General features: G+C 46.0%; 1 protein-coding gene across 2 annotated transcripts in view, besides 3 other annotated features; it reads left to right on the top strand.

The window, feature by feature from the left end:
- Nucleotides 1-25549, top strand: part of KIAA1549 — a 150009-nt gene that overhangs the window by 1083 nt on the left and 123377 nt on the right. The gene's annotated exons all lie outside the window — the stretch shown is intronic.
- Nucleotides 10-304: a silencer, noted in NCBI's record as "tiled region #8027; K562 Repressive non-DNase unmatched - State 20:ReprD". NCBI's record gives its function as "represses a minimal TATA promoter and a strong SV40 promoter by Sharpr-MPRA in K562 cells {active_cell/tissue: K562}" and the evidence as "EXISTENCE:reporter gene assay evidence [ECO:0000049][PMID:27701403]".
- Nucleotides 5240-5740: an enhancer, noted in NCBI's record as "H3K4me1 hESC enhancer chr7:138659313-138659813 (GRCh37/hg19 assembly coordinates)". NCBI's record gives its function as "activates a minimal SCP1, AML or CMV promoter by ChIP-STARR-seq in naive and primed H9 embryonic stem cells {active_cell/tissue: H9 hESC(naive and primed)}" and the evidence as "EXISTENCE:reporter gene assay evidence [ECO:0000049][PMID:30033119]".
- Nucleotides 5741-6241: an enhancer, noted in NCBI's record as "H3K4me1 hESC enhancer chr7:138658812-138659312 (GRCh37/hg19 assembly coordinates)". NCBI's record gives its function as "activates a minimal SCP1, AML or CMV promoter by ChIP-STARR-seq in naive H9 embryonic stem cells {active_cell/tissue: H9 hESC(naive)}" and the evidence as "EXISTENCE:reporter gene assay evidence [ECO:0000049][PMID:30033119]".

Here is a 25549-nt window from a genome sequence, read left to right as displayed (position 1 = left end):
CAAAATGTTTATTTGTCCACCCTGAGCCTGTACACAGGATGGTCTGGAAACCGTCTCTGAGCTGACACTGCAGGCCAGCGATTGCCCCTGCACAGGCACTTGACCACTTTGAGGCGGAAAAGGAAAGGTGGAAGGAGCAGCTAGGGGTGGAGAGCTGCTGCACACAGAACAAAAACCAGAAAGCCGTGAACGCTGCTCCGAATCCTCCTTTCTCGTGGGAGCAGGGCCAAAGGGCTACTCAGTGGCTGGGAGGAATTGGAACACATTTGAAGGTGTCCCTTGGACCTGTGAGAATTATAACCAGTGCCCTAGAGGGGATGGTACAATAGAAGCACAGGGAGGACTTCAGGGATCATGGAACAGGTCCACTCTGCTTACCAAAGAGGAAACTAAGGCAGAGAAGTGCCTTGCTCAAGGTCACAGTCATCACTTTCCCTGCCTCCCACCCCCGCTCTTGGCCCATAGACATATCCACACCTGAAGCCTCTGCAGAGATTTCCCATAGCTGGGTGGAACCAGGGTTGGGGTGACAGAATGAGTCTCTTTTAGGCAGTATACAGCTAGTGCAAACACCTTACTCTAACCTAGGACCTCCCGTCTCAGTCCTGCTCCTGCGAGTTCCAGCCCTGTGTGTCCAGAGGAGAAGAGATCATTGTCAAGGGTCTCTTGGCTTTAGTCAACAAAGAGAGCCCATCTGATACTCGTGGATTCATCTGTCATAAGACACAGCAGATAAATGGTTTCCATCTCCTGAGTGCTTTTTGTGTGCCAGATGTTGAATTTTATATACACGATCCAATCACGTTGTGAGTTAGGCATAGTTATCCCCATTTTACAGATGAGGAAACTAAGGCTTTGAGTTTAGGTTGGTTTGGCTTCAGACTCTATGACATGCTTCCTTTCTGTGCCTGATGGCTTCCCCATATGAATGTGGCCATCTGGGTGTACTGCAGAGGTTGTGGAGAATATAAGTGCTTCTGGTAACTTTAAAATAAATAGTGAAGCTGTTTGCACTGCCCATCCCTAACCTTCTCTTCTTTGGAAGTCCTTTCCTGCTTCCCCTCTACCCCCAATACAAATATTCAACCTGGAGACATGAAATTAATAATATTTCCATTCTAGACCTGACATCATGGAAAGAGACTTCATCCTTTCACTGGTTTGTATATTGGCTTCAGCCGCTGCCAGGCTCATAGACTAGGAACTAAGAAGTGGAGGGCACAGCCCCTGTGCTCCAGGATCCAGCTGGAAACACAGAGCAGTGAAGGAAGTACAAACCCTTGCACAGACCATTCCCGGACAGGAAAGGCAGGATTCCTTATGGATGACCTGCTGGAGGTGACCCCATCTACTTGAAGACTGTGAGGAACGATCTTGGTGGAGGGTGGCTTCCTGATGTAGCTAGGGTGTGTGTAGGGTGCCTGGGCGGTGCTGTTGATCCTGGGAAGAGGGTGCGTTGCAGTTGCTTGGGCTGCCCTCCCAGTCCTGAGTGTGGTATTTTCACCAGGAGATTTGGAATGTAGGAGAGCTTTGCTGAACACTGCTGTGGTGGTTGGTTCTCTTTCTAAGGAATAAGCAGTGGTAGTCAGAAAATGGCATGGCTTAGACCTGTTTTGGACTTCCTATGTGAGGCAGCATTCCCTTCCGTGGCTGTCTGAAAGCTATCTCCTCCTTCAGCTGGCTTCTCTTGTTAACTTTTGTTCAATAGAGTCCACCTTCCAGGTGGTCCCCTTATTACAGTCTTTGGTTAAATCTCTATGTTAAATCGATTTCTTGTCTATTTGTATTTCATTCAGCATTTTGAGTGTGTTTTTTTAAAAAAAAAATTTACAAGTTTGGTCTTAACCATTGACTGTTGTGGAAACAACTTGTAATGCTTTGGACTTACTTTTGAATGCATTGCTCTTAAGTGATTAGCCATCCACAGTATAAAAACAAAGAATCATGCCCAGTTTCTTCACCTTATTCAGAGATAAGTTTTTAAAAAGTAATAGTTATTATGAAATAGATTGCTTTGTAGGGAATTTGGAAATTACTGAAAGGTACAGAAACCAGTCACCCATAATCTCACAGCCTGTAGGTAACACTAAGTAATTTTATCGTTTTTTTGTTGTTAACATTAAAAAAAGAATTATATGCACAATTGTATTTACTACCATTTCCACTCTACATTTAACTTAAGCATTTTTCCATTCATTAAGTCTTATTTGAAAACTATTTTCTATCCTAATGATTTATTCTTTTATTTCCATTTTTTGGGTTGCTGTAAGTAATGCTGATGAATAGCTACATAGAGAAGGCTCTGCTGGCCATGCGCGCTGGCTCACGCCTGTAATCCCAGCACTTTGGGAAGCCGAGGTGGGCGGATCACCTGAGGTCAGGAGTTTGAGACCATCCTGGCCAACATGGTGAAACCCCGTCTCTACTAAAAATACAGAGATTAGCTGGGTGTGGTGGCATGTGCCTGTAATCCCAGCTACTTGGGAGGCTGAGGCAGGAGAATTGCTCGAACCAGGGAGGCAGAGGTTGCAGTGAGCCGAGATGGCGCCATTGTACTCCAGCCTGGACGACAGAGCAAGACTCCGTCTCAAAAAAAAAAGGCTTTGTGCATGTTTCTTTCCGTGTGTGTGTGTGTGTGTGTGTGTGTGTGTTTTCTTGAGTATACATTTGTGGAAGGGGTATTAGAGTGTGATTAAAATGTAAGGCCCACCAGGCTGGATTTCTGCATCTTTTGTTCAAAATGCTGGGCCCCTAGTAGGTACTCAGTATGTGATTTTTGAATGAAGCAATTTTTGAAAGTTATAATGCTGACATAAGCCCTTGAAGCTTACGCAGGGGCCTTCCATTATCACTTGCATTGAGTATTCACTTCATCACTGGCATTGAATGTTACTTTAAAAGCCCTTGTTAAATAAATTTGTAATACATTGTTTTAACCTGCACGGTTTTATTGCTTTAGAATTGAATATTTTTTATTTTGTATTTGTATTCTGTGAATTTTCTCTGTATTTTTATTTATTTACCTGTTGTGGCATAGATATGTATTTAAATCTTTATGTATTAGAAGGATAGCAACCATTTTTCCTTCTATATGTTGCGTTTTCCCCTTCCAAAGGAATTTCTTTTAAATTTTACATAATTTTGAAATGTAGAAGTTTTTGGTTGTTTTGATTAGCAAGATCTGCCATTTGTTCTTTTAATAATTTTTTTATTGCATTTATGCTTATGGTGTGTGAAATTTTTTTCTTAATGTGCTGTTTTATTATTGGCCATTTCTAGGTGAATATTTATGCTTTGTGAGTCGTTTAGGATATTATAAACAAATACTTAAATGTTTCAAAAGTGTGGCCCCTAGGCCTCCTGCATCAACATCATTTGGGGATGTGGGGGTGCTTGTTAAGAATTTAGATGTCTACGACTCACCCTTAGCCTCTAAATTAGACTCTTTGGTGGCAGTGCCTGGGAATCTTCATTTTAACAAGTTGACAGCTCCGTTTTAGCCCCTGAGCATTGGAACCACTGATCCGGATATGGTAAACCCAGTAACTGAAAATTAACAGTATTTTGAAGATATAGTAGTCCCTCCTTATCTGCAAGGGATGTGGTCCAAGACCCCCAGTGGATGCCTGAAACTTTGGGTAGTACTGAAGTCTGTATATACCATGGTTTTTTCCTATATGTACATACCTGCAATAAAGTTTAATTAAAAAATGAGGCACAGTAAGAGATTAACAATAATAACAAAACAGAACAGTTCTAACAGTCTACTGTAATAAAACGTGAATATGCTGTATCTCAAAATACCTCAGAATATCTCAAAATATCTTCAAACTGCAGTTGTCCTCCGGTATCCGAAACCTTGGAGGAGGGGGACTACTGTATACCATTGGTATCTTGCAGTTGTCTTTTCACTGTTAGAACAGCTAATTTAAAATCGTTATGTTGAGGCCGGGCGCGGTGACTCACGCCTGTAATCCCAACACTTTGGGATCACCTGAGGTCAGGAGTTGGAGACCAGCCTGGCCAACATGGTGAAACCCGGTCTCTACTAAAAATACAGAAATTAGCCGGGTGTGGTGGCAGGTGCCTGTAATCCCAGCTACTTGGGAGGGTGAGGCAGGAGAATTGCTTGAACCCGGGAGGCAGAGGTTGCAATGAAATGAGATCGCGCCACTGCACTCCAGCCTGGGTGACAGAGCAAGACTCCATCTCAAAATAAAATAAGATAAAATAAGATAAGGTAAAATAAAATAAGCATTTTTTGTTACATGTTTTTGCTTGGTTTTGTTTGGGTTGGGAGTGAAAGGGTGCAGAGGACTGCATTTTCAATGCTCACTCCTGCCCGTTTGGGAACAGCTGCTGCAGTGCTTGTCAGGAAGTGCCTCACTTAATTCTGAAAACAGAACCCAGCCAGGGAGTTGTTACAAGTCACTAGGGACGTGGGAGCCACAGGTTTTCTATCAGTGCCCTGAATGATAGAGGCAGCTAATTACCGTCATTATAATTACACTAGGTTGATTTTCCCAGATAGGAAGACACTGTTCTAACTGATCTAATTTGTTTTCAAGTTGTGACCACCCACCTTTCATCTGGAGCTCACAATGATGTGATTTCTTTTTCTTGTTGTTAGGCAGCAGGATTTGTTAAAAGGTGAGTTAAAAAACCTGGGTGTGTGCAAATGCAAATCTGCCTGTAACTTTGTGACTATGGACAAGTTACCTTGTCCTGGGTTTCCTCCTCGGTGTAAGAAAGGGTTAATGAGATTAGCGCTAATCTCATTAACCCTCTAGCTCCTTGTAGCTCATTTCTCCCTGTAGCTCCTACATATCAAGTCAACATCTTGGATGTCTTGGAATGCACTTATAAGCAGCATCTGTCCTTTTTCTGTTAGGTTGTTTTGTCATTTCTCCTTGCCTGGTAGATGTTCTAGGCCCATGACCTGCTGAAGGCAGCTCACTCTCACCATTGCAGATGGCTCTTCTTTTTAAAAACTCCCTTTATTCTTCCCTCTTGCATCCACACACTCAAGACCCATACTTTGCTTTCTCTTATTCTTTCTCTTTGTCTCTTTCTTTTTTCCATCTCCTTTGTTAGCTTCAGGCAATTACTTCTCATTAGTGAAATTCTAATCTTGTGGTCCCCACACTCTGAGCATCATCACTGCCTCTTAGCTCGCATCATCACTGCCTCCACTGCCTCGTAGCTTGTTAGAAAATGCAGAATCTCAGGGCCCACCCCCGACCTTCTGAATCAGAATCTGCATTTGACAAGATCCCCCTGGTGATTTTGCATGCACAATTGAGGTTTGGGAAGCACTGGGCTAAGAGGTAAAGTGCCTTCTGTTCTAGCCTTCTGGGAATAGGTATTGTTGGAACATTGAAGGCTAAGTCAGCCTGGACTAACTCTGGAGCTATGTAAATCTCCAGAGACCTTGAGAGACACCTGCTTTTGGGACTGAGTCTGTGTAAATAGTGTGCAAGAACCATATTTTATTTGACCAGGCAACTAGATTAGAATTGTCCCCTAGACCTGCTGTTTTCATTCATTGCGAGCATTTGACTGGTTGTAAAAACACTGAGATACAGTCTGGATGTGGTGGCTCACGCTTATAATCCCAGCACTTTGGGAGGCTGAGGCAGGTGGGTCACCTGAGGCCAGGAGTTCGAGACCAGCCTGGCCAACATAGTGAAACCTCGTCTCTACTAAAAACACAAAAAAATAGCCAGGCATGGTAGTGGGTGCCTGTAATCCCAGCTACTCAGGAGGCTGAGGCTTGAACCCGGGAGGCAAAGGTTGCGGTGAGCTGAGATCGCGCCACTGCACTGCAGTCTGGGCAACAAAATGAGACTCTGTCTCAAAAAACAAAACCAAACCACTGAGATACTACCATAGCAGTTGGTAAATAGCTGCTGTACTGAATATTCCTTGCTCCCCACCCCCAAGTACCCTGAGCCTCCCTGCCCTCTTTCAGGACTCTTCTCCCAAGGACCACCGCCACCCTCCACCTCACCGAGATCCAGTGACTGAAGGGTTAATGCTCAGCACAGCAGGTGCCTCAAGGACTCTGCTTTAGTTTTTTGGCTGAAGACCATTCTGGCAGGTTTGAGGTGCTATCTCATTGTGGTTTTAATTTGCATTTCCCTAATGATTAGGGATGCTGAGCAATTTTTCTTTACCTGTTGACCATTTGTGTGTCTCTTTTGAGAAATGTCTGTTCAGATCCTTTACCTGTAAAATTAGAATAGCTCCCTTTCCGACTGTCAGTGCTCGTGCTCCACTGCTGTTAACTGTGTTGACTATCACCTGTACATTCATTCATTGATTTTTAATCTATCCCAGATCCAGTACTTAGAAAAAAAGTTAGGCTGGGTGCGGTGGCTCACGCCTGTGTTCCTAGCACTTTGGAAGCCCAAGGCGGGAGGATTGCTTGAGCTCAGGAGTTTAAGACCAGCCTGGGTAACATAGTGAGACCTTGTTTCTACAAAAGTACAAAAATTAGTTGGGCATGGTGGCATGCACCTGTAGTCTCAGCTATTCGGGAGGCTGAGGCAGGAGGATTGCTTGAGCCCAGCAGGTTGAGGCTGCAGTGGGCTGGGATTGTGCCACTGCACTCCAGCCTGGGTGATAGAGCAAGAACTTAAAACAAAAAAAAAGCTTGTTAAATGTTGTACTTGATGGTAGTTGAAGTCATAGATATGGAAGACACTAGTGAGGGGGGAGCATGGAGAGTTAGTAGACAAGGCAGCTGAGGACAGAAACCCTGAAACTAGCGTGAAGGAGAGGGGAAGACAAAGAGGAGCATACAGAGGAACTGACCATCATGACAAAATAGTGATATGAGAGCCAGGAGAGGAGGAGAGAGTTTTCCTCTAGGTGAGTGATCCATCATGTCAAATGCTACTGTACCAAACTGTTTCTTGAAGGATGGGATGAGGGCCAACTGATCAGAATCACCTGTTAAAAACCCAACTCATGGTCAAGCCAGCTCTACTGAAACAGGTGATGCCTGAGGATTTGTATTTTTGAAATGTTCCACAAGCTCTTTATGTTATTCTTAGGCCTGGTGAGGTTTGAGTTATTCCCTATAACTTAATGGTGGCAGGAGGGTTGGTGGAAGTTTTAAAAACATGTTTTAGACTTGATTGTGTTTGTAGGCTTCAAGAGTCAGTAAAAATACAGTGACTGGGCTGGGCGCGGTGGCTCATGCCTGTAATCCCAGCACTTTGGGAGGCCCAGGCAGGCAGTTCACTTGAGGTTAGGAGTTTGAGACCAGCCTGGCCAACATGGTGAAAACCCGCCATTACTAAAAATACAAAAATTAGCCAGGTGTGGTGGCGGGTGCCTGCAATCCTAGCTATTCGGGGGGCTGAGGCATGAGAATCACTTGAATCTGGGAGGCGGATGTTACAGTGAGCTGAGATTGTGCCACTTTACTCCAGCCTGGGTGACAGAGCGACACTCTATCTCAAAAACAAAACAAAACAAAACAAAAGCAGTGGTTGACAATTTAAGGAAGTAGAAGGAAGGACCTCATGGCTAATTTACCAAAAGTGAGGAGGTTCACCTGGGCAGGCAGGACCACCCTAAGAAGAGTTAGGAAGAAGTAATGTTGGGAGAAGGAATCGGAGGGACTGGTGGAAGGTTGGGAGTGAAGTCCAAGGTAATGGGGGTATCTGTGGTGATGTTAGGGAACCCACCGTGTGATTTTTGTCCTCTAGCACTTGACGTTCCAGTGTGTCTGGGAAAGGTGAGCCATTGGCCCGAGTCAGGGATGGGGAATCACAGGGCAGGTGTGAAGAGCCAAAGGGGATTGAAGGAGCTGGCAAGAGGTGGTCTGGATGAGGTAGGAGGTGAACCGTGGCTGGAGCAGTGGGAAAGGGACTGGGAGGAGGGGGTGCAGCTGAGATCCCAGGGCAGGTGTTGAGAGAGAGGTGGGGGAGGGCGGGAGGGATTGGGGTGTCATTGTGCCGAGTTTCAGAAGTGGGTCATCTCTAGTTTTGGTCTTGGGTAATGAACAGGGTAGGGTGTAGTGGTGGGAATGAGTTGTTGAAGTGGAACATGGAGGAAGGCTTTGGGGTGAATAACTTCTGTGGATGTTGAACTTGCCTGGAGAGAGGAAGAAAGGACTGTGAGCCAGGCACCAGCCCCTCAGTGAGTGAAAGAAAGTTCCCAGAGGACTGTGAATGGGAGGGGAGGAAGTCCGTCTTGAATGTTTCTGCTGTACCATCGCTGCCACCACTGCCCTCATTCAAGCTCCCATCCTCTTTTCTCCAGGTGACTGTCACGACCTCTACTTCTCCTCTCACTTCCTCCAGTTCATCCTCCACCTTCAGCAGGAAGGGCCTGCTAGGAACAGGTCACGTCCCTTCCTCCTTGCTTGACTGTCTGCAGTGGCCCCCATGGTTTTCATTACGCTCCACGTCTGAGTCAAAGCCTGTGTGCTCAGATAGCAGGTGTACAGGGCAGGAGTTGGGTGTCTAGGATGTGGGAAAATGGGCATGGAAGGTGCAGAATATTCCACATATTGGTACTGAAAGGGACCGAGAAGATCTTTCCAGCAAGAGAAGGGAAGTGATGTGATTTGGAGGCTGAGTTTTGCCCTCTCGAGGTTGAGGTCCAGCTGTAAGACGGTTTCTCAACCCTAGGGGGTGGGTTTTGTTGTGACAGCCGCTGACTGGGTAGGACCCAGCCCCTCAGAGGGCCAGCTTCTGCGGCATGAAGGGTGCTGTGTGTGTGCAAGGAGTGAAATAACGTAGGAAGAGGGAGTGGTAAGGTGGAGGCCATCTGTGCAGGTGAGGGCTAGGAAGAAGCCAGTCTGGGGTGGGGTTGGAAAGGGAGGCAGAGAGGGCAGGAGTGAAAGCTCCTGGGGGCTTGGAAGGGATGGGATCTAGGGCAAGAGTGGAGGCATTCATTTGAGAGAGGAGGAAAACAGAAGGAGAAACAGGTGGCTTGTCTGGGGACAGAGATGTATGGGGGAGTATGGGTCTATTGGTGGAGGGTGGGAGGCGAGCAGATCTGGAGAGAGGACAGCAGCGTGGGGGGATCAGGAGCTTGAGCAAACACAACTGGCTTCCAGAGGAGAGTGAGAAGGGATGAGTGAAAGAATTGCCAGGCAGTGGCAAGGGCCCAGTTGAAGTTGGAAGGCCAGTCTTGGTCGCAGTCCAGGCAGACACTCTGCTTGTCCCTCCAGCAGCCTGGGTGGCCCAGAGCCTTGGCGGAAGATAGGCCACAGCGGTCCTGGGGTGTTGTGTCGAGGGCAGGGCAGCTGGGAGGGCTCCTCACTCCTAGTGGTTTCCTGGTGCTTCCCAGTCCTTTGGAGTCTCTTGGAAACTCTCCTGTCACTTCTTTCTTCTTTGTTCTCTGTTTGGGCCTGAGGAAGGAACCCTTCATCACTTACTGTGTTGGGTGCTAGGATTAATTGTGGAGCCGGACAGTCTGAAGAGCTGCTTTGAAACACTGGGTAAATACTGTTGGGGAGCTTTCAAAGGGGGAAGCCTCAGACATACAAAACAGATGATCTTATGGAGCCAGCTTCCAGGGGAACTTGGGCAAAGCCCAGGAGACAGGTCTGAGCAGGTGGGAGGTTGCCAGGTCCTTGCTGCTCCAAGTGTGGTCCCCGGATCAGCAGCATCAGCATCGCCTGGGAGCTTGTCAGCAATGCAGAAGGTCGGACCCCACCCCGGGCCTACTGCATCGACTTTTTGAAAGCACCTCCAGGTGACTTGTGTGCACACCAAAGCTTGAGAGGCTCAGAACTGTGCAGTTTCTCATTGAAGTTGGGTGTACTTCAAAGATTGTTGGTTATCTAATTAGTGGAGAGTCCATAGCGCATAAAAATGCAGCCCAGATCTCAAGCCATCGGGCAAAACTGAGGGTAGGAGCAGTAGCGGGTTCGGAGCTGAGCTGGTGCCTGGCTGGCTGCGCTGCTCAGAGAACTGCCCCTGCCCTGAGCACGGTCACAAGCCTTTAGTCCAGTCCTGAGTTCCCTGAGCTGGTGTCAGCAGGTGTTAGGGTGGTTGACTACCAGGAATTACAAAAGCACTTGGAGATAGTTGAAGCAAAAGGGTGTCGAAGCTGAGATGGAGGCAGAAGCAACCCACATGTCTGTGGACAGATGAATGAATAAACAAACTGTCGTCTGGGAGGAAGTGGGGATGGCTAATAGGTACAAAAAAATAGAATGAATAAGTTGCTTTTATATAGGAAAGGAAAATTTTTAAAAAAGGAAAAGAGTTAAGAATGAGTAAGACCTAGTATTTGCTAGCACAACAGGGTGACTATAGTCAAAAATAATTTAGTTGCACATTTAAAAACAGCTAGTATAATTGGATTGTTTGTAACACAAAGGATAAATGGTTGAGGGGATGGACGCACCATTTACCTTGATGTGATTATTATGCATTACGTACCTGTATCAAAGCATCTCATGGGCTGGGCACAGTGGCCGGCCCTTTGGGAGGCTGAGGTGGTCAGATCACCTGAGGTCAGGAGTTCCAGACAAGCCTGGCCAACACAGTGAAACCCCGTCCCTATTAAAAATACAAAAATTAGTCAGGCATGGTGGTGCAGGCCTGTAATCCCAGCTACTTGGGAGGCTGAGGCAGGAGAATTGCTTGATCCCGGGAAGCAGAGGTTGCAGTAAGCTGAGATCGCATCACTGCACTCCAGACTGGGAGACAGAGCAAGACTCCATCTCAAAAACAAACAAACAAACAAAAAACAAAACTCATATAACCCATAAATATACGTACCAACTATGTACGCACAAAATTGAAAATAAACAAATTTTTGCAAATGTGGTCTAGCCATTCAGTGGAATATCGTTCAGCCTTAAAAAGGAAGGAAATTCTGACACATGCTACAACATGGATGAACCTCAAAGACGTTATGCCAAGTGAGATGAGCCAGTCATGAAAGGACAAATACTGTAGGATTCCACTTACGTGAGGTCCCTAGAGTAGTCAAAGCCATGGAGACAGGAAGTAGAAGGATGGCAAGGGCCTGGGAGGAGGGGGGAATGGAAAGTTTTTGTTTAATGGGGACAGAGTTTCAGCTTTGCAAGATGAAGGAGTTCAGACTATCAGTTGCACGACAATGTGAATATACTCAACACTGTGGAACTGTACACTTAGAAATGGTTGAGATGGTCAATTTGGGGGAGCTAAATCGTAACTTATGAACACAAAGAGTCAACAGACACTGGAGCCTCCTTGAGTTGGATGGTGGGAGGAAGGAGAGGAGCAGAAAAGATAACTATTGGGTACTGGGCTTAATACCTGGGTGATGAAATAATATGTACAACAGACTCCTGTGACACCTGTTTACCTGTGTAACAAACCTGCACTTACACCCCAAACCTAAAATAAAGTTAAAAAAAGGATGCTAAAGAAAATATTAAGAAGAAAATATTATTGGAGCACAAGGTGTTTTTTTTTTTTTTTTTTTTTGAGACGGAGTCTGGCTCTGTCGCCCAAGCTGGAGTGCAGTGGCGCGATCTTGGCTCACTGCAAGCTCTGCCTCCCAGGTTCACGCCATTCTCCTGCCTCAGCCTCCCCAGTAGCTGGGACTACAGGCGCCCGCCACCACGCCTGGCTAATTATTATTATTATTATTTTGTATTTTTAGTAGAGACGGGGTTTCACCGTGTTAGCCAGGATGGTCTCGATCTCCTGACCTCATGATCTGCCCGCCTCGGCCTCCCAAAGTGCTGGGATTACAGGCGTGAGCCACCACGCCTGGCCTTGGAGCACAAGGTTTTTAGCTTTTTATACTTGGGATGTACTAGATGGATTGAAAAATAAAGCTCTGTTGACTATCTGACCTCTAGTTTGTTTCCGTTTAAAAATATATATCGCTGCTGCAATGAATTGCCTTTAAATAAAAATTTCTGTTTAATATTAATACAAGATGGGTAAATTTTATGTTACGTTTTTAACCACAGTTATTTTTTTAATTTTTATTTTTAGTTCTGGAATACATGTGCAGGACGTGCAGGTTTGTTACATAGGTAGATGTGTGCCATGGTGATTTGCTACACCTGTCAACCCATCATCTGGGTATTAAGCCCAGCATACATTAGCTCTTTTTCCTAATAATCTCCCTCCTCCCACCCCACCTACCGAGAGGGCCTGGTGTGTGTTGTTCCCTTCCCTGTGTCCATGTGATCTCATTGTTTAGCTCCCACTTATAAGTGAGAACATGCAGTGTTTGGTTTTCTGTTCTTGGATTAGTTTGCTGAGGATAATGGCTTCCAGCTTCATCCATGCCTAGTGGAGTGGGAACTAGCTGGTAGGGAAGCAGGAGTGGACATTGCTCAGAGCTGGGAGCCTCAGTGGTCTTGGTGCAGAGCAGGAGCACGTGACAGGTGCTCGCTTTGGGAACTGGCAGTGGAGGCAGATGACAGGCTGGGATGGAGGGGCATCTGTGCAGGCCAGCACAGGCCAGATCTGGATGGGGATTGGGGGACAAGTCAGCCACTGGTGGCTAGGATAGTGGTCAGGATTGTTGCCCTTGGCTTGTAGCACCAGCACAGATCTTGGGGCCTCTCCACCTTGGGGCTGCTTCACCTTACCTCACCTCAGCATCCTTGCACTATTGAGTGTTTTTTTTTCTCCTGGACAGCTGTTTAATGGAGGATGGGCTGGGAGACTGGGCTGGGGAAGGCGGCTCCAGGAATGGGTTGGAGTTTTCAGCCTGGGCCTGAAGAGAGTCTTAGGAATTTGAAAAATTAGGTGGTTTTCCTAGCCCCTAGAATTGGGCTTTTAAATATCTTAATGCCTTTTGAGAGTACAATATCTTTATTGGCTTTTTCCTGATTATAAAAACGATATGCATTCATTGCAATCATTTGTACTTGCTGTTCCCTCTGCCTAGAACTTTCTCATCTCAGATATGATCAACACAGTTGACTCCCCTTCCTTCAGGTCTCTGCTCAGATTTCCTGTTATCAGGGAGGCCTTCCCTAACCCCGATGTGAAAAATTAGCAACCGCCTCCGTAATTCCTCTGCTCCTGCTTGCTTTTTTTCTTCATGACACTTATCATTGTCTTCTACATATTTGTCTGTGCATTCTGCCTTCCTCCACTGGACTGTAGTCCCCACCAGGGCTGACTTTGTGTAGTTCAGTGTCATTTGTCCATGTATTCCACAAATCTTTGCCTGCTCTGTGCAGGCACTGTGCTGGGCCCTTGGGATACATCAGTGGACAAAGTTAATGATATCATGTGTTACTCCGCGGTAGGTGTCATGTGTAAATGCAGCAGATAAACAGCTTGGACTGACGAGTTGCAGTTTTGATCTGGGTGTTTAGGGAGCCTCGTTGAAAATGGGGCTGGATTCATTTGCTCAGGCTGCCGTAATAACGTACCACACACTGAGTGGCTTACACAACAGAAGGTTATTGTCTCATAGTTCTGGAGTCCAAGATCAAGGTGTCAGCAGCACTGTGCTTCCTCCAAAGGTGCTAGAGAAGGATCTATTCCAGGCCTATCTCCCAGCTTCTGGTGGTGCAAGGTTAATATTGAGTGTCAACTCGATTGGATTGAAGGATGCAAAGTATTGATCCTGGGTGTGCCTGTGAGGGTGTTGCCAAAGGTGATTAACATTTGAGTCAGTGGGCTGGGAAAAGCAGACCCACCCTTAATCTGGGTGAGCACAATCTAATCAGCTGCCAGCATGGCTAGGATAAAAGCAAGCAGAAGAACATGAAAATACTAGACTGGCTTAGCCTCCCAGCCTACGTGTTTCTCCCATGCTGGATGCTTCCTGCCCTTGAACATCGAACTTCAGGTTCTTCAGATTTGGGACTCGGACTGGCTTCCTTACTCCTCAGCTTGTAGTTGGCTTGTTGTGGAACCTTGGGATTGTGTGAGTTTAATACTCCTTAATAAACTCCTCTGTGTGTATATATATATAGCTATCCTATTAGTTCTGTCCCTCTAGAGAACCCTGACTAATACAGGTGGTTCCTGGCTCATGGCAGTGTGACTCCAGTCTTTACATGGCGTTCCCTCTGTGTGTGTGTGTGCGTGCAAATTTCCTCTTTTCATAAGGACCGTGGTATTGGATAGGGGTCCACCCTACTTCGATATGACCTTATTTTAACTACATCTTTGATGACCCTGTTTCCACGTAAGGTCACATCCTGAGGTTCTAGGGTTAGGACTTCAACATGTGAATTTTGGGGGCACACAGTTCAACCCGTAACAGTGATAAACTAACATTTGAAAGAGGCAAGGGGGCAAGACAAGCAGGTATTGGGGGGAACAGTGTTCCCAGCAAATGATGTGGCCAGTGCAGAGGCCTTGAGGCAGGAGTGTGCCTGGTGTTGGGGGAGGCACAGGAGGCCTGTGCGCCTAAAGCAGAGGGTGGAGGCTGGAGGCAGCAGGCACTCAGGTGTGGAGGGAAGTGGGTGCTAGGGGTGGAGGATCATAGAGGGTTTTGATCAGAGGATGATGTAAAATTTCTTGCACATTGAATAAAGTCAGGTGGTACAAAGAAGGTATAAATTAAAAAGCAAAAATCACCCCAAATCCTACCTGTCAGACAACTGCTATGACATTTTAGTATCTCTCCTTTCAGACTGTTTTCACATGTACAGGCGCATACACAGAAAGCAATGGTATCATATTCTACATGTTGTTTGGCAGCTTGCTTTTTTTCGCTTCACACTTTATCACGGAATCTTTAGTTGTCAGGAAATACAGATCCACACCATGATTTTATTCGACGCTGTGGATGTTCCACACTTCATTTATCTGGTTCTCTGTTGATGGGTAATTGTATTGTCTTCAGCTTTCAATGTTATAAGAAAACGTTGCCGGGCGTGGTGGCTCACGCCTGTAATCTCAGCGCTGTGGAAGGCTGAGGTGGGCGGATTGCTTGAGCCCAGGAGTTCAAGACCAGCCTGGGCAACATGGCAAAACCCCATCTCTACAAAAAATACAAAAATTAGTCAGGCATCGTGGCACGCACTGGTAGTTTGAGAGTACAGTATCTTTATTGGCTTTTTCCTGATTATAAAAATGATATACATTCATTGCAATCATTTGTACTTGCTGTTCCCTCTGCCTAGAACTTTCTCATCTCAGATACGATCGACACAGTTGACTCCCCTTCCTTCCGGTCTCTGCTCAAATCTCCTGTTACCAGGGAGGCCTTCCCTAACCCCGATGTAAAAAATTAGCAACCGCCTCCGTAATTCCTCTGCTCCTGCCTGCTGAAGGAGGCTGAAGAGGGAGGATCGCTTGAGCAGAGGAGGTTAAGGCTGCAGTGAGCCGAGATCGCACCACGGCACTTCAGCCTGGGCAACAGAGCAAGACCCTGTCTCAAAAAAAAAAAGAAAAAAAAACAAAGAAAAAAAACACTGCTATGAGCATCGTTGTGTATACATCTTTACACACTTTTCCAATTACTTTCTTAAGATAAATTCTCAGAAATAGACTTGCTGGACTAGGCAGTATGCACATATTAAATTTTGATGCATATTGCCAAATCGCTCTCTAGAAAGGCTGAAGCAATCCACATTCTCTCTAGCAATGCACCAGAGTGCCAGCTTGCTTCTCTCCTCCATAATACAGGCTGTGACCAGTCTTTATTGTCTTTGCCCAACTCATAGGTAAAAAATATCTCCATTAAAGGTGCATTTCTCTGATTGTTCATTGGCATTTGGGCCTTTGAATAAGGTTCTCTTTGCACTTCTTTCTCTGGTCCTCTCCTGCAGCAGTCTCAGGGGCTGAGCTGGGAATAATAATAATACCCAACAATTATAGAGTGCATGCTGTGTGCCAAACATTGTGTGAGGAGACGGCACAGTGTCTCTTGTTTAATCCGTGCAACAATTGCATGAGGTAGGTACTGTAAGGATCCCCATTTTACAGATGAGGAAAATAAAGCTTAGAGAAGTTCATTGACTTGCTCACACAGCTAGCAAGAGTTTTTCCCACCCTGGGGGTGGGCATGTGCACCCCCAGCCACGGTCTCCTCTGTTCTGGGTCTGGGTTAGAGAATGACTCTGTGGTCTCTCCCACTGAAGTGCCCACTCACAGGCTTTGCTTGCAGGGCAGAGTGAGCTCTGTGGACAGAGCCCCAGTCAGAGCCACCTGTGGCCCCTGGCCAGCTCCCTGTCCCTGTTAGAAGCCCTGACTGTGAAGTCACAGCCTGGCCTAGCCCATAGAAGATGCTCACCAAACGTAGGTTAAGAGAAATGAATGAAGCAGGCTTTCAAAACCTACAGTGTTGTGTGGTGGTGCATTTTACTTTATTTCGGCAAATTAAACATTTTAACAATAAAAAAACTCAAAAAGTTAAAATTCCATGATGAGCCATATTCCATTTTCTCCACCAGTGAGGATAATATTTTTCTTAATACTGAGTGACATTTTCTTGCCGCATTTCCTCTTTTATCACGTCCTGGATCATTTCCTTGTGGTTTTGATACCATTTTTGCTTTGTGTTGACTATGCTGTTTTTCTGTTGTTTGTTTCTGACAGCCAAGTGTGTGGTTGTCATACATCTCCTCCGTTAATTAAGTTAGTGTATACCACTGGTTTAAAATCAATTTCTTATTTACTTTGGAATTTTGGTGGGAGGAAGTCGATGCCTTAAAATGAGTACTTTGTTCAAAAACTAACTGGTACAGCCGGCTGTCCTACTTCGTTTGTTTTATATGCCCCTTGAGCCTTTTTGGTTCTTCATAAAACACAGTGTATTAATGCCTTGAGTTCTTGCCTAGATCTGGTATAAAGTTTAACCTTCTGAATACTTCCCAGAAATCCTGAACCTGCAACTGTTCTATTTTGTTCGTTGTAGTTTATATTGACTTTACTCATTGACAGCCTTCAGGTTCCTCTACTCCCTCTTCCAATTGTGTTCAGTTCCCCGAGAGGAAAACAAGATATACCTGTAGAATGTGTACCCTATCAGGCTGGGTAAACCAGCAGTGCTGTGGAAAGTTTCCAAATCTCAGTGGCTTTCCGCATGTGACTTCTGCCTCCCACCAGCAGATCTTGCCCTTCATCTCTCTCCTGCACCTTTTGCATCTTGTCTGGTTCTGGGAAGTGTGCTTGCCTGGGTCCTGTTTTTCATTCTTCCATCTTTGTTTTGGGTTTGCCAGTGCCAGAAGGCATGCCTGCAGGCAGGCCAGTTGTGTGGTAGTTCCATGCCCACATGTCTGCATGACTCAGCCAACATTGATGGAGCACTCACTGCCATGTGCTGAGCACCGTGCTGGATGTTGGGATACTAAGAGAAATACGGCAGTCAGTCACAGCCCTCTAGCAACTCCGTCTACAAGGGGAAGTTGTTCTGTACGTAAGTGACTATCCAGTGGCATGTGAAGTGCTATTGTAGAGGACTGCGGTGGTGATACAAAGAGGGCAGTAACTGTTGGTGGATGTAGGACCGCAGAACTGTGGGGGATGTTTGAAGATGGATATGAGATGGAACATTCTTTTAAAGCTAAAGGGGAGCCTCATTTTGGTTATCTATTGCTGCATAACAAATCACCCTGAAACAGAATGGTTGAAAACAGTAATGGTTTATTATTTCTCATGATTCTGCGGGTCAGGAATTCGGACAGGTCTCGGATGGATAATTCTGCTCCATGAAACTCAGCTGGGGTCACTCACTTGGCTGTGTTCGGTTGGCTCCAGGGCTGGGCTGGAAGGCTGAGGCTGTTTCACCCCCTCCTACCTTCATGTCCCACCACATTCCCTCCCTCTCTCTTCCCAGGTGACCAGCTTGGACTTCTTATAGTAGGACTTCATATGGGGCCGCTGGCTTCTAAGGGGAATGAAGCAGGAGCTAGCGGCCCTCTTAAGATCTGGAGCTCAAAAGTTGTCTCTGATGCATTCTGCTGGTCAGAGAAAATCACAAGACTAGTCCACAAGGGGCAGGAGGAAATAGGGCTACCCACTGATGGGTGGTGAAATAGCCTAGACATTGACATTGATGGTGGTCGTCTTTGGAGATTAGCAGCTACCATAAGCACAAAATGGTTGAAGGTAATGGAGAGAAAAGATACAATTACTTGAGAAAGCTCTCAGAGAAGACTAGGATAAATGATGATGATAGTAGACATAATAATAGGTAACTAAAATCGAATGTGCACTTATGTCAGGCATTCTTCTAGGAAGTTGATATGTATTAATTGTATTAAGCCATGTAATCCTGATAACCCTATCCAGTACAATTATAAGGAGATGAAGTAACTCACCTCAGGTCACATAACTGATAACTGAGAGAGGAGAGATTCACACTCCAGTGCATCCTTGCACAGGGAGAATGGCGCCTCTTCCACTGAGACAGGTGGGAAGGGGGAGTGATGGCTACAGGTTTAGGTGCATGCAGGTAAAGGGGCGGGAGGATGATGCTATTGAGGAAGTTGATGTCTGATAGCTTTTTTCTTTTTTTATTTCTTCCTTTCTTTTCTTTTTCCTTTTCTTTCTTTTTTTTTTTTTTTCTTAAGAGACAGAGCCTCTATCTGTCACCTAGGCTGGAGTGCAATGGCATGATCATCTCTCACAGCAGCCTTGAACCCCTGAGATCAAGCAGTTCTCCTGCCTCAGCCTCCCAAAGTGCTGGGACTACAGGCATGAGCCACTGTGCCTGGTCGCATTTTTCTTTTTGATAGTGGCATCATCATCACTTAAGTGAGATGGGGCAGGAGCAGGTCAGGTTCCATGAAAAAAGTAGTTTATAATTATAGTATCTGTGGATCACAGAAGAAGGAATAGAGCAGGAAGCTGTGAAAGGATTGTTGAGTGGGCCAGGCCTGGAGGAGGTGAGGACCTTTTGTGTACAGCAGCAGCCTCCCGTGGTCCCTGTGGGGGGTGATAGCCTCGTGGCAGGGTAGGGAAAGCGCATCATGGGGCCGATCCCAAAGCAGCTCTCTCAGCCCACGGTAGGAGCCTAATAGATCTATTTTCTGCCCAGCTGCTGTGTTTGCCTCAGTCTCACAATGCTTCCCCCAGTAGCTTTCAAAATGCAGCATTTCCGTCATAGACTTCAAAAGAAGAACGCCAAGATCTCCTGGCATGGAGCCCTCCTATGTACTTTGACCTTTAATTGGGTGCCTTCCAAGTGCCAAACTTCAAGTCTTGAGACTGCTCCGAGGACAACAGGAGCAACTTAGAATGGGGTTTTAACCTCCCAGTGTGTGCCTAGAGGAGACCCCACTCTTTGGTGGGCAAGAGGTTGTGGGCATTGGCCGTCACCCGGATCCAAGTGCAGGACAGATGGCTCCTGCTCCTTGGCTGTGCTGTCCGATGGCCTGCAAGGGGCCCTTCTGTCAGAACTGCACAGGGAGAGGTTATGAGGGCATGGGGGAAAGACACATTTAGTGTCCCATTCATCTCTTTTCATGTCCCTTATTGTGTGGAGTTTGCAGTGCTTTTAGAATTTCCCAGCATTCTTATCATTTATGTTCCTGGAGACTTTGCTTCATAATAGTTTGATCTCTTTGGAAAATCCGGAAGACACCACCGCTTGTGTTTCTAGTCCTACAGGGCATTAGAAAGCGTTTCTTGAGAAAAGCACGTGCAATATGGAGAGAGCAGTTTTACTCTCTGGCCGCAGATACGCTTCTGTGAGGTGCCTGCCGTGGCAGCCTGGGCTCCAGCCTGGGGTGTCTGGGAGGTTCAGCCCTTTGCTGGTGTTGGAAACACTGTAGCATGTATTTAAAATTTTTTTATTTTTGTGGCTGGTCACAGTGGCTCATGCCTGTAATCCCAGCATTTTTGGAGGCCGAGGCAGGTGGATCACCTGAGGTTAGGAGTTCGAGACCAGCCTGGCCAACATGGTGAAACCCTGTCTCTACTAAAAGTACAAAAAATTAGCCAGGCATAGTGGCGGGTGCCTGTAATCCCAGCTACTTGGGAGGCTGAGGCAGGAGAATCGCTTGAACCGGGGGGCAGAGGTTGCAGTGAGCCGAGATAGTGCCACTGCACTCCAGCCAGGATGATAGAGTGAGACACCATCTCAAAATAAATAAATAAATAAATAAATCAATAAATCAATAAAATAAAATTTATTTTTGTAGAGATGAGGTCTCACTATGTTGCCCAGGCTGGTCTCGAACTCCTGGCCTCAAGTGATCCTCCTGCCTCAGCCTCCCAAAGTGCTGGGATGACAGGTGTAAGCCACCATGCCCAGCCTCATGTATATTTTTTGACACAGTATTTACACTATCTCCTCTGCCACAGAGCTCCAGGGCACAAATTCTGTTTCTCCTGGACCTCAGTGGCCCGGTCAGCCTTTGACCAATTGGAGTTGGGCTGTCACTCTAATTCCTGTTTGATTCACCCTATCTTGGAGTAATTTTTCGACACATTTCAGAGCTTGTTTGTGTTAAGGGACCAGTAGTCTCTCTTTTGCTCTCCAGTCCTGGGAACTGACCTGATCCCACATGGGTGTGACATTTGGAATTGAAAATTGTTAGTCCTTGAGAGCACTGTTTAAAGAGGGGTCGGGTCTGATTAAGAGGCACAGTTGCTCTCTGATCCTCACAAATGAAGTTAGGTTTACACCTTTTGGCCCAGTAGTTCAGCTCTTAGGAATGTATCAAGTTACACCTCTTTGACAGTTAAATCTACATAAATTTATAAAGGGATTTATGAATGGATCTTCTAATCCAGAAAAAGTAATGCTTCTAACTTAATGTAAATTTAAATAAATTTTAATTATGACCAAACTTCGCTGACATATTTCATGCTGAAATAATTGATAACCAACAGTCAGGGTTAAAAATGATCATAACAAAGATGACATTTTTCTCCATTCGTAAAATGCGCGTTAGGTTAATTGCAGGCTTTTTATGGGAAATAAACATAAAGACCCTTTGTCCTATGCAGGTTGGGCCTCTCTGCCATAAGCCCCCACTCCCTTTTCCTAATGATGGGAGCCCCGTTAGCGTCATCTTTTTATTCCACAATGTCCAGCACAATGTACTGCGTGAGAGATGGATGCATGAATATGTAGATAAATGGGACTTTCCCTAGTTGTGTATGGTCGTGATTTGTGGTGCTATTTAAGTCTTGATGTTTAGTTGATTGCCAAGAGGGAATGAATTAATGTATAGCAGATTTTTGGAGTTATATTAAGGTCATTTGTTTAAAAAAGGATGTATGAGAACTTTTGTCTCAGCACTTTGGGAGGCCGAGGCAGGTGGATTACTTGAAGTCAGGAGTTGGAGACCAGCTTGGCCAACATGGTGAAACCCCGTCTCTATTAAAAATATAAAAATCAACCAGGTGTGGTGGTGGGCGCCTGCAATCCCAGCTACTCGGGGGGCTGAGGCAGGAGAATCACTTGAATCTGGGAGGCGGATGTTGCAGTGAGCCGAGATTGTGCCACTGCACTCCAGCCTGGGTGACAGAGCAACACTCTATCTCAAAAACGAAACAAACTAAACAAAACAAAAAAAAAACCTTTGGGCTATAGTGCAAAAACAAATCTGTATATCTCGAATTGTGTAACTGGTACGTACCTGGACAGGAACAACTTCTGAATCATACTGGTTTGTTTGGATCATCTTGGATTGTTGCTGAGTGACCCTGAGGAAGTATTGCCGTCTACTGTTCGGGGTTGCTAGGAAGAAACCAGTCCTCTCTATACCAGGGAAGAAGAGTAGCTGATGTGAGACAGTGGGATAGTAATAAGCTAAACGAGGGGGAGAGAAAGAGATTTAAATGACAGTCCCAGGCAAGGCTGTCATCATGGGATGTAAGTGAGACTGTTAAGCTCCTGAGTCATAGAACTTTACAGCTGGGAAGTTATATAAATATTCATATATATGTCAGTTTCCACTTCTGTGGCCCTGACAAGATGCCTCAGGGCCTGCAGCTTGGGGATCCAGGCTGTAGGAGTTGAAGACTGTTCCTTTAGGGCATAGCCAACAGGATGAATTTCAGCCTTTTAATCATTCTGTTTGAGATTCAGATTTTGGGGAGAGAGCCTGGGGCTTGGGATAGTTGCCCGTCCCTTGGTCAGGAGAGAATGAGCATCGTGGGTGATGGTGGCACCTAGATCCGGTGCCATGGTGGAAGGAGTGTTCCCCAAGGCAAGACTGGGGTGGGCGTGGGCGCCAGGCAGGCTGAACCCGCAGATGGCCCCTCTTGTGGCCCGCGCATGTGGGTCACATGCCCACTTATGCTCAGCATACACACACAGGCACACGCATAATCATTAACGTGCATGTATCCAGAGGATAACAGTCGTGCAAAGACGAGGAAAGACAAATATGTATTCACAGACGTTGTCAAAGGAAAATTCAAAACGTAGATGCATGAGTACAAGCATATAGATTAATAGCAATATATGCAGAGATGCACATACAAGGAAATGCATGCATGAATACAGACACACTGACTCATGAGTATGCACCCATAGCGAAATGCACGGTTGCTTGGAGAGGAAGGAAGGCTGAGTAGAAGAAGTGGACAAAGAGAGAATAAGGGACAGTAGAGATGAGGTGGCAGCAAGTGACCCTGGGATACCAGTTGGGTCCATAGGTACATGTTTTTAGGAAAGTTGACTGGGTGCAGTGTCTCATGTCTGTAATCTCAGCACTTTGGGAGGCTGAGGTGGGCGGATCAGCTGCGGTCAGGAGTTTGAGACAAGCCTTGCTAACATGGTGAAACCCTGTCTCTACTAAAAATACAAGAATTAGCTGGGTGTCATGATGCGAACCTGTAGTCCCATCTACTCTGGAGGCTGAGGCAAGAGAATTGCTTGAACCTGGGAGGCAGAGGTTGCAGTGAGCTGAGACCATGCCGCTGTGCTCCAGCCTGGGCCAAACAGCGAGACTTCATCTCAAAAAGAAGAAGAGGAAGAAGAAGAAGAAGAAGAAGGAGAAGGAGGGGGAGGGGGAGGGGGAGGGGAAGAAGAATAAGAAGATAGTGGGCCAAGATTTAGGATTTGACTTTGGGTTTCTGTTTGTTCCCTTATTGCTGGGCCCTCGGCTCAGTTCCTTGCCAGTGTGTTCACTACATTCACTTGATTAGGACCATGTGGTGCCTCACATGGCAGTGTCTCTGGTTTGTTCAATCCTTGTTTTTCTTGATTTGCAACAGCCTCCTCCTCTCCCCTCTCCTACCTCATTGCCTGCCTCTCCTGTTAACCGTATTGCTCTGGCAGTATGGTCATTCCCCATATGGGGAACTGCGTTGAACTGTTTTATGCCCCTGTGCCTTTGCACATGCTGTTCTTTCTGCGTGGAATGCACTTCTCTTCCTCATTTGCTTGATTCTGTACTTCCCTCAGGAAGACTTCCAGAAATCCCAGAATGATTTGGATGCTCATTGCCCCTGTGCGTCCCTATTATAACTCTGACCACTGTGTTATGATTGTTCCTAACTAGTTTTTTGAGGACAGAGATTGTGCCTTAGCCCCTCCACCTGGCACTGGGCCTGGCAGAGAGTAGGCCCTCAATAAATATTTGTTAAATCACTAAGTGGGTGGGTGTGTAGGAAGGAATGCTTCTATGAGTTAACAATTAAATAGGTAAATGATCATATGAATGATTGAATAGATCAGAATTAATAGCAACTTGGTGTATTAGTCCGTTTTCACAGTGCTGATAAAGACATACCTGAGATTGGGTAATTTATAAAGAAAAAGAGGTTTAATGGACTCACAGTTCCATGTGGCTGAGGAGGCATCACAATCATGGCAGAAGGTGAGAGGCACGTCTTACATGGTGGCAGACAAGAGAGAATGAGAGCCAAGCGAAAGGGGTTTCCCCTTATAAAACCATCAGATCTCGTGAGACTTATTCACTACCACCAGAATAGTATGGAGGAAACCACCCCCACGATTCAATTATCTTCCACCAGATCCCTCCCACAACACATGGGAATTATGGGAGCTACAATTCAAGATGAGATTTGGGTGGGACACAGCCGAACCATATCACTTGGTGAATTCAGTACCGTGGCTTCTCCCTGGATTTGTAAGCTGCTTCATAAAGCTGGGCTTCTTTTTATCTTTCTCTTCCCCTTAGCTGCTTTCTCCTCCTGAATCCTAACTCAGAATGCCTTTTCACACCTTCTCTCCTTTCTTGAAGATCACCTGGAACTACATCTTCATTCCAGACCTGTTCCATGAACTAAATCCCTGTGGGTGATTAGCTGTCATTTTAAACCCAGTGCTGACTTTGGGAGGCTGAGGTGGGCGTGTCGCTTGAGGTCGGGAGTTCAAGACCAGCCTGGCCAACATAGTGAAAACCCGTCTCTACTAAAAATACAAAAATTAGCTGAGCTTGGTGGTGCACACCTGTAGTCCCACCTACTTGGGAAGCTGAGGCAGGAGAGTTGCCTCAACTCAGGAGGTGGAGGTTGCAGTGAGCCAAGATCGCACCACTGCACTCCAGCCTGGGTGACAGAAGCAAGACTCCGTCTCAAAACCCCACCCCCCAAAAAACAACCGTCAGTGCCTCAGTTCCCTGCATGTTGATTCCCTCTCTGTTGGGATAAAAAAAGTTTGTCTCTGATTATAAATGGTCCTCATTTGTAGGTACTTTGGAAAGTACAGAAGTATATTTAGTAGAAAATAATCATCTTTATTTCTGCCACCTAACAATAACTATTATATAAACAGTTTGATATGCATCTTCCTAGTGTTTCAAAATATGTATATGAGACTTTACTTTTTTCATAAAATGGGATCATGCTATGTATACAATTTGCATCTTGCAGTTTTCATTATATTGTAAACATTTTCATGCCATGATATACTTTCACCCTGCTGTGCCATCGTCACCACCATCCATCTCCACGACACTTTTCATCCTGCAAAATAGAACCTCTGTACCCATCAAGCAACTCCTCATTTCCCCTCTCCCCTATCCCCTGGCATCCACCCTTCTACTTTCTGTCTCTATGAATTTGACTCCTCTATGTACCTCCTGTAAATGGAATCATCTAGTATTTCTTTTTGTGCCTTTGCATAATGACCTCAAGCTTCACCTGTGTTGTAGTGTGTGTCAGAATTTCCTTCCTTTTTGAGGCTGAGTGATATTCCATTGTGTGTATGTGCCACCGTTTGTTTATTCATTCATCAGCCAGTGGACAGTTGGTGAGTTGCTTCTGCCTTTTGGCTATTGTGAATTACAGTGATTTATTTTTCACTTCTGTTTTTAATACCAGACTGTGGACAGTGGGGGTCAGGGACAGTGTTTGACTCACCTCAGTTTCCTCGAAATCTAGTGGTGTCTCTGGCACATAGTAGGACACTGATCGGTGTTTGAATGAAGACATGGCAGAGCCAGTAGAGGGTGCTTCAGAGGAGGGCTGTGTGTGCGGGGACTTAATCCGAGGCCTGCTGCTGTCTGTGGTGCCAGCAGCCTCTTGGGCGGTGTGGCTTGCTTGCCCCAGGATGTTACTGTCTCCCTGTCCCCCTTATCCTCAGCCCCTGGGTCCCCCTTCCAGATGCCCCTCACATCTGCTGCTTTTCTTTCCCTGCCTTCTCTTTGGTCCTCCCCACCTGATCTGAGATCATTCAGTTTCTTCTGCAGGACGGGAATCTTCCTGCAGTTCCTGCACAAGCACCCTTC

The sequence above is a fragment of the Homo sapiens genome, chromosome 7, assembly GCF_000001405.40.
Source record: "Homo sapiens chromosome 7, GRCh38.p14 Primary Assembly".
In the NCBI taxonomy this organism is placed as follows: domain Eukaryota; kingdom Metazoa; phylum Chordata; class Mammalia; order Primates; family Hominidae; genus Homo; species Homo sapiens.
The sequence above is the reverse complement of the archived record's forward strand: the minus strand, read 5'-3'. Positions and strand labels throughout refer to the sequence as shown.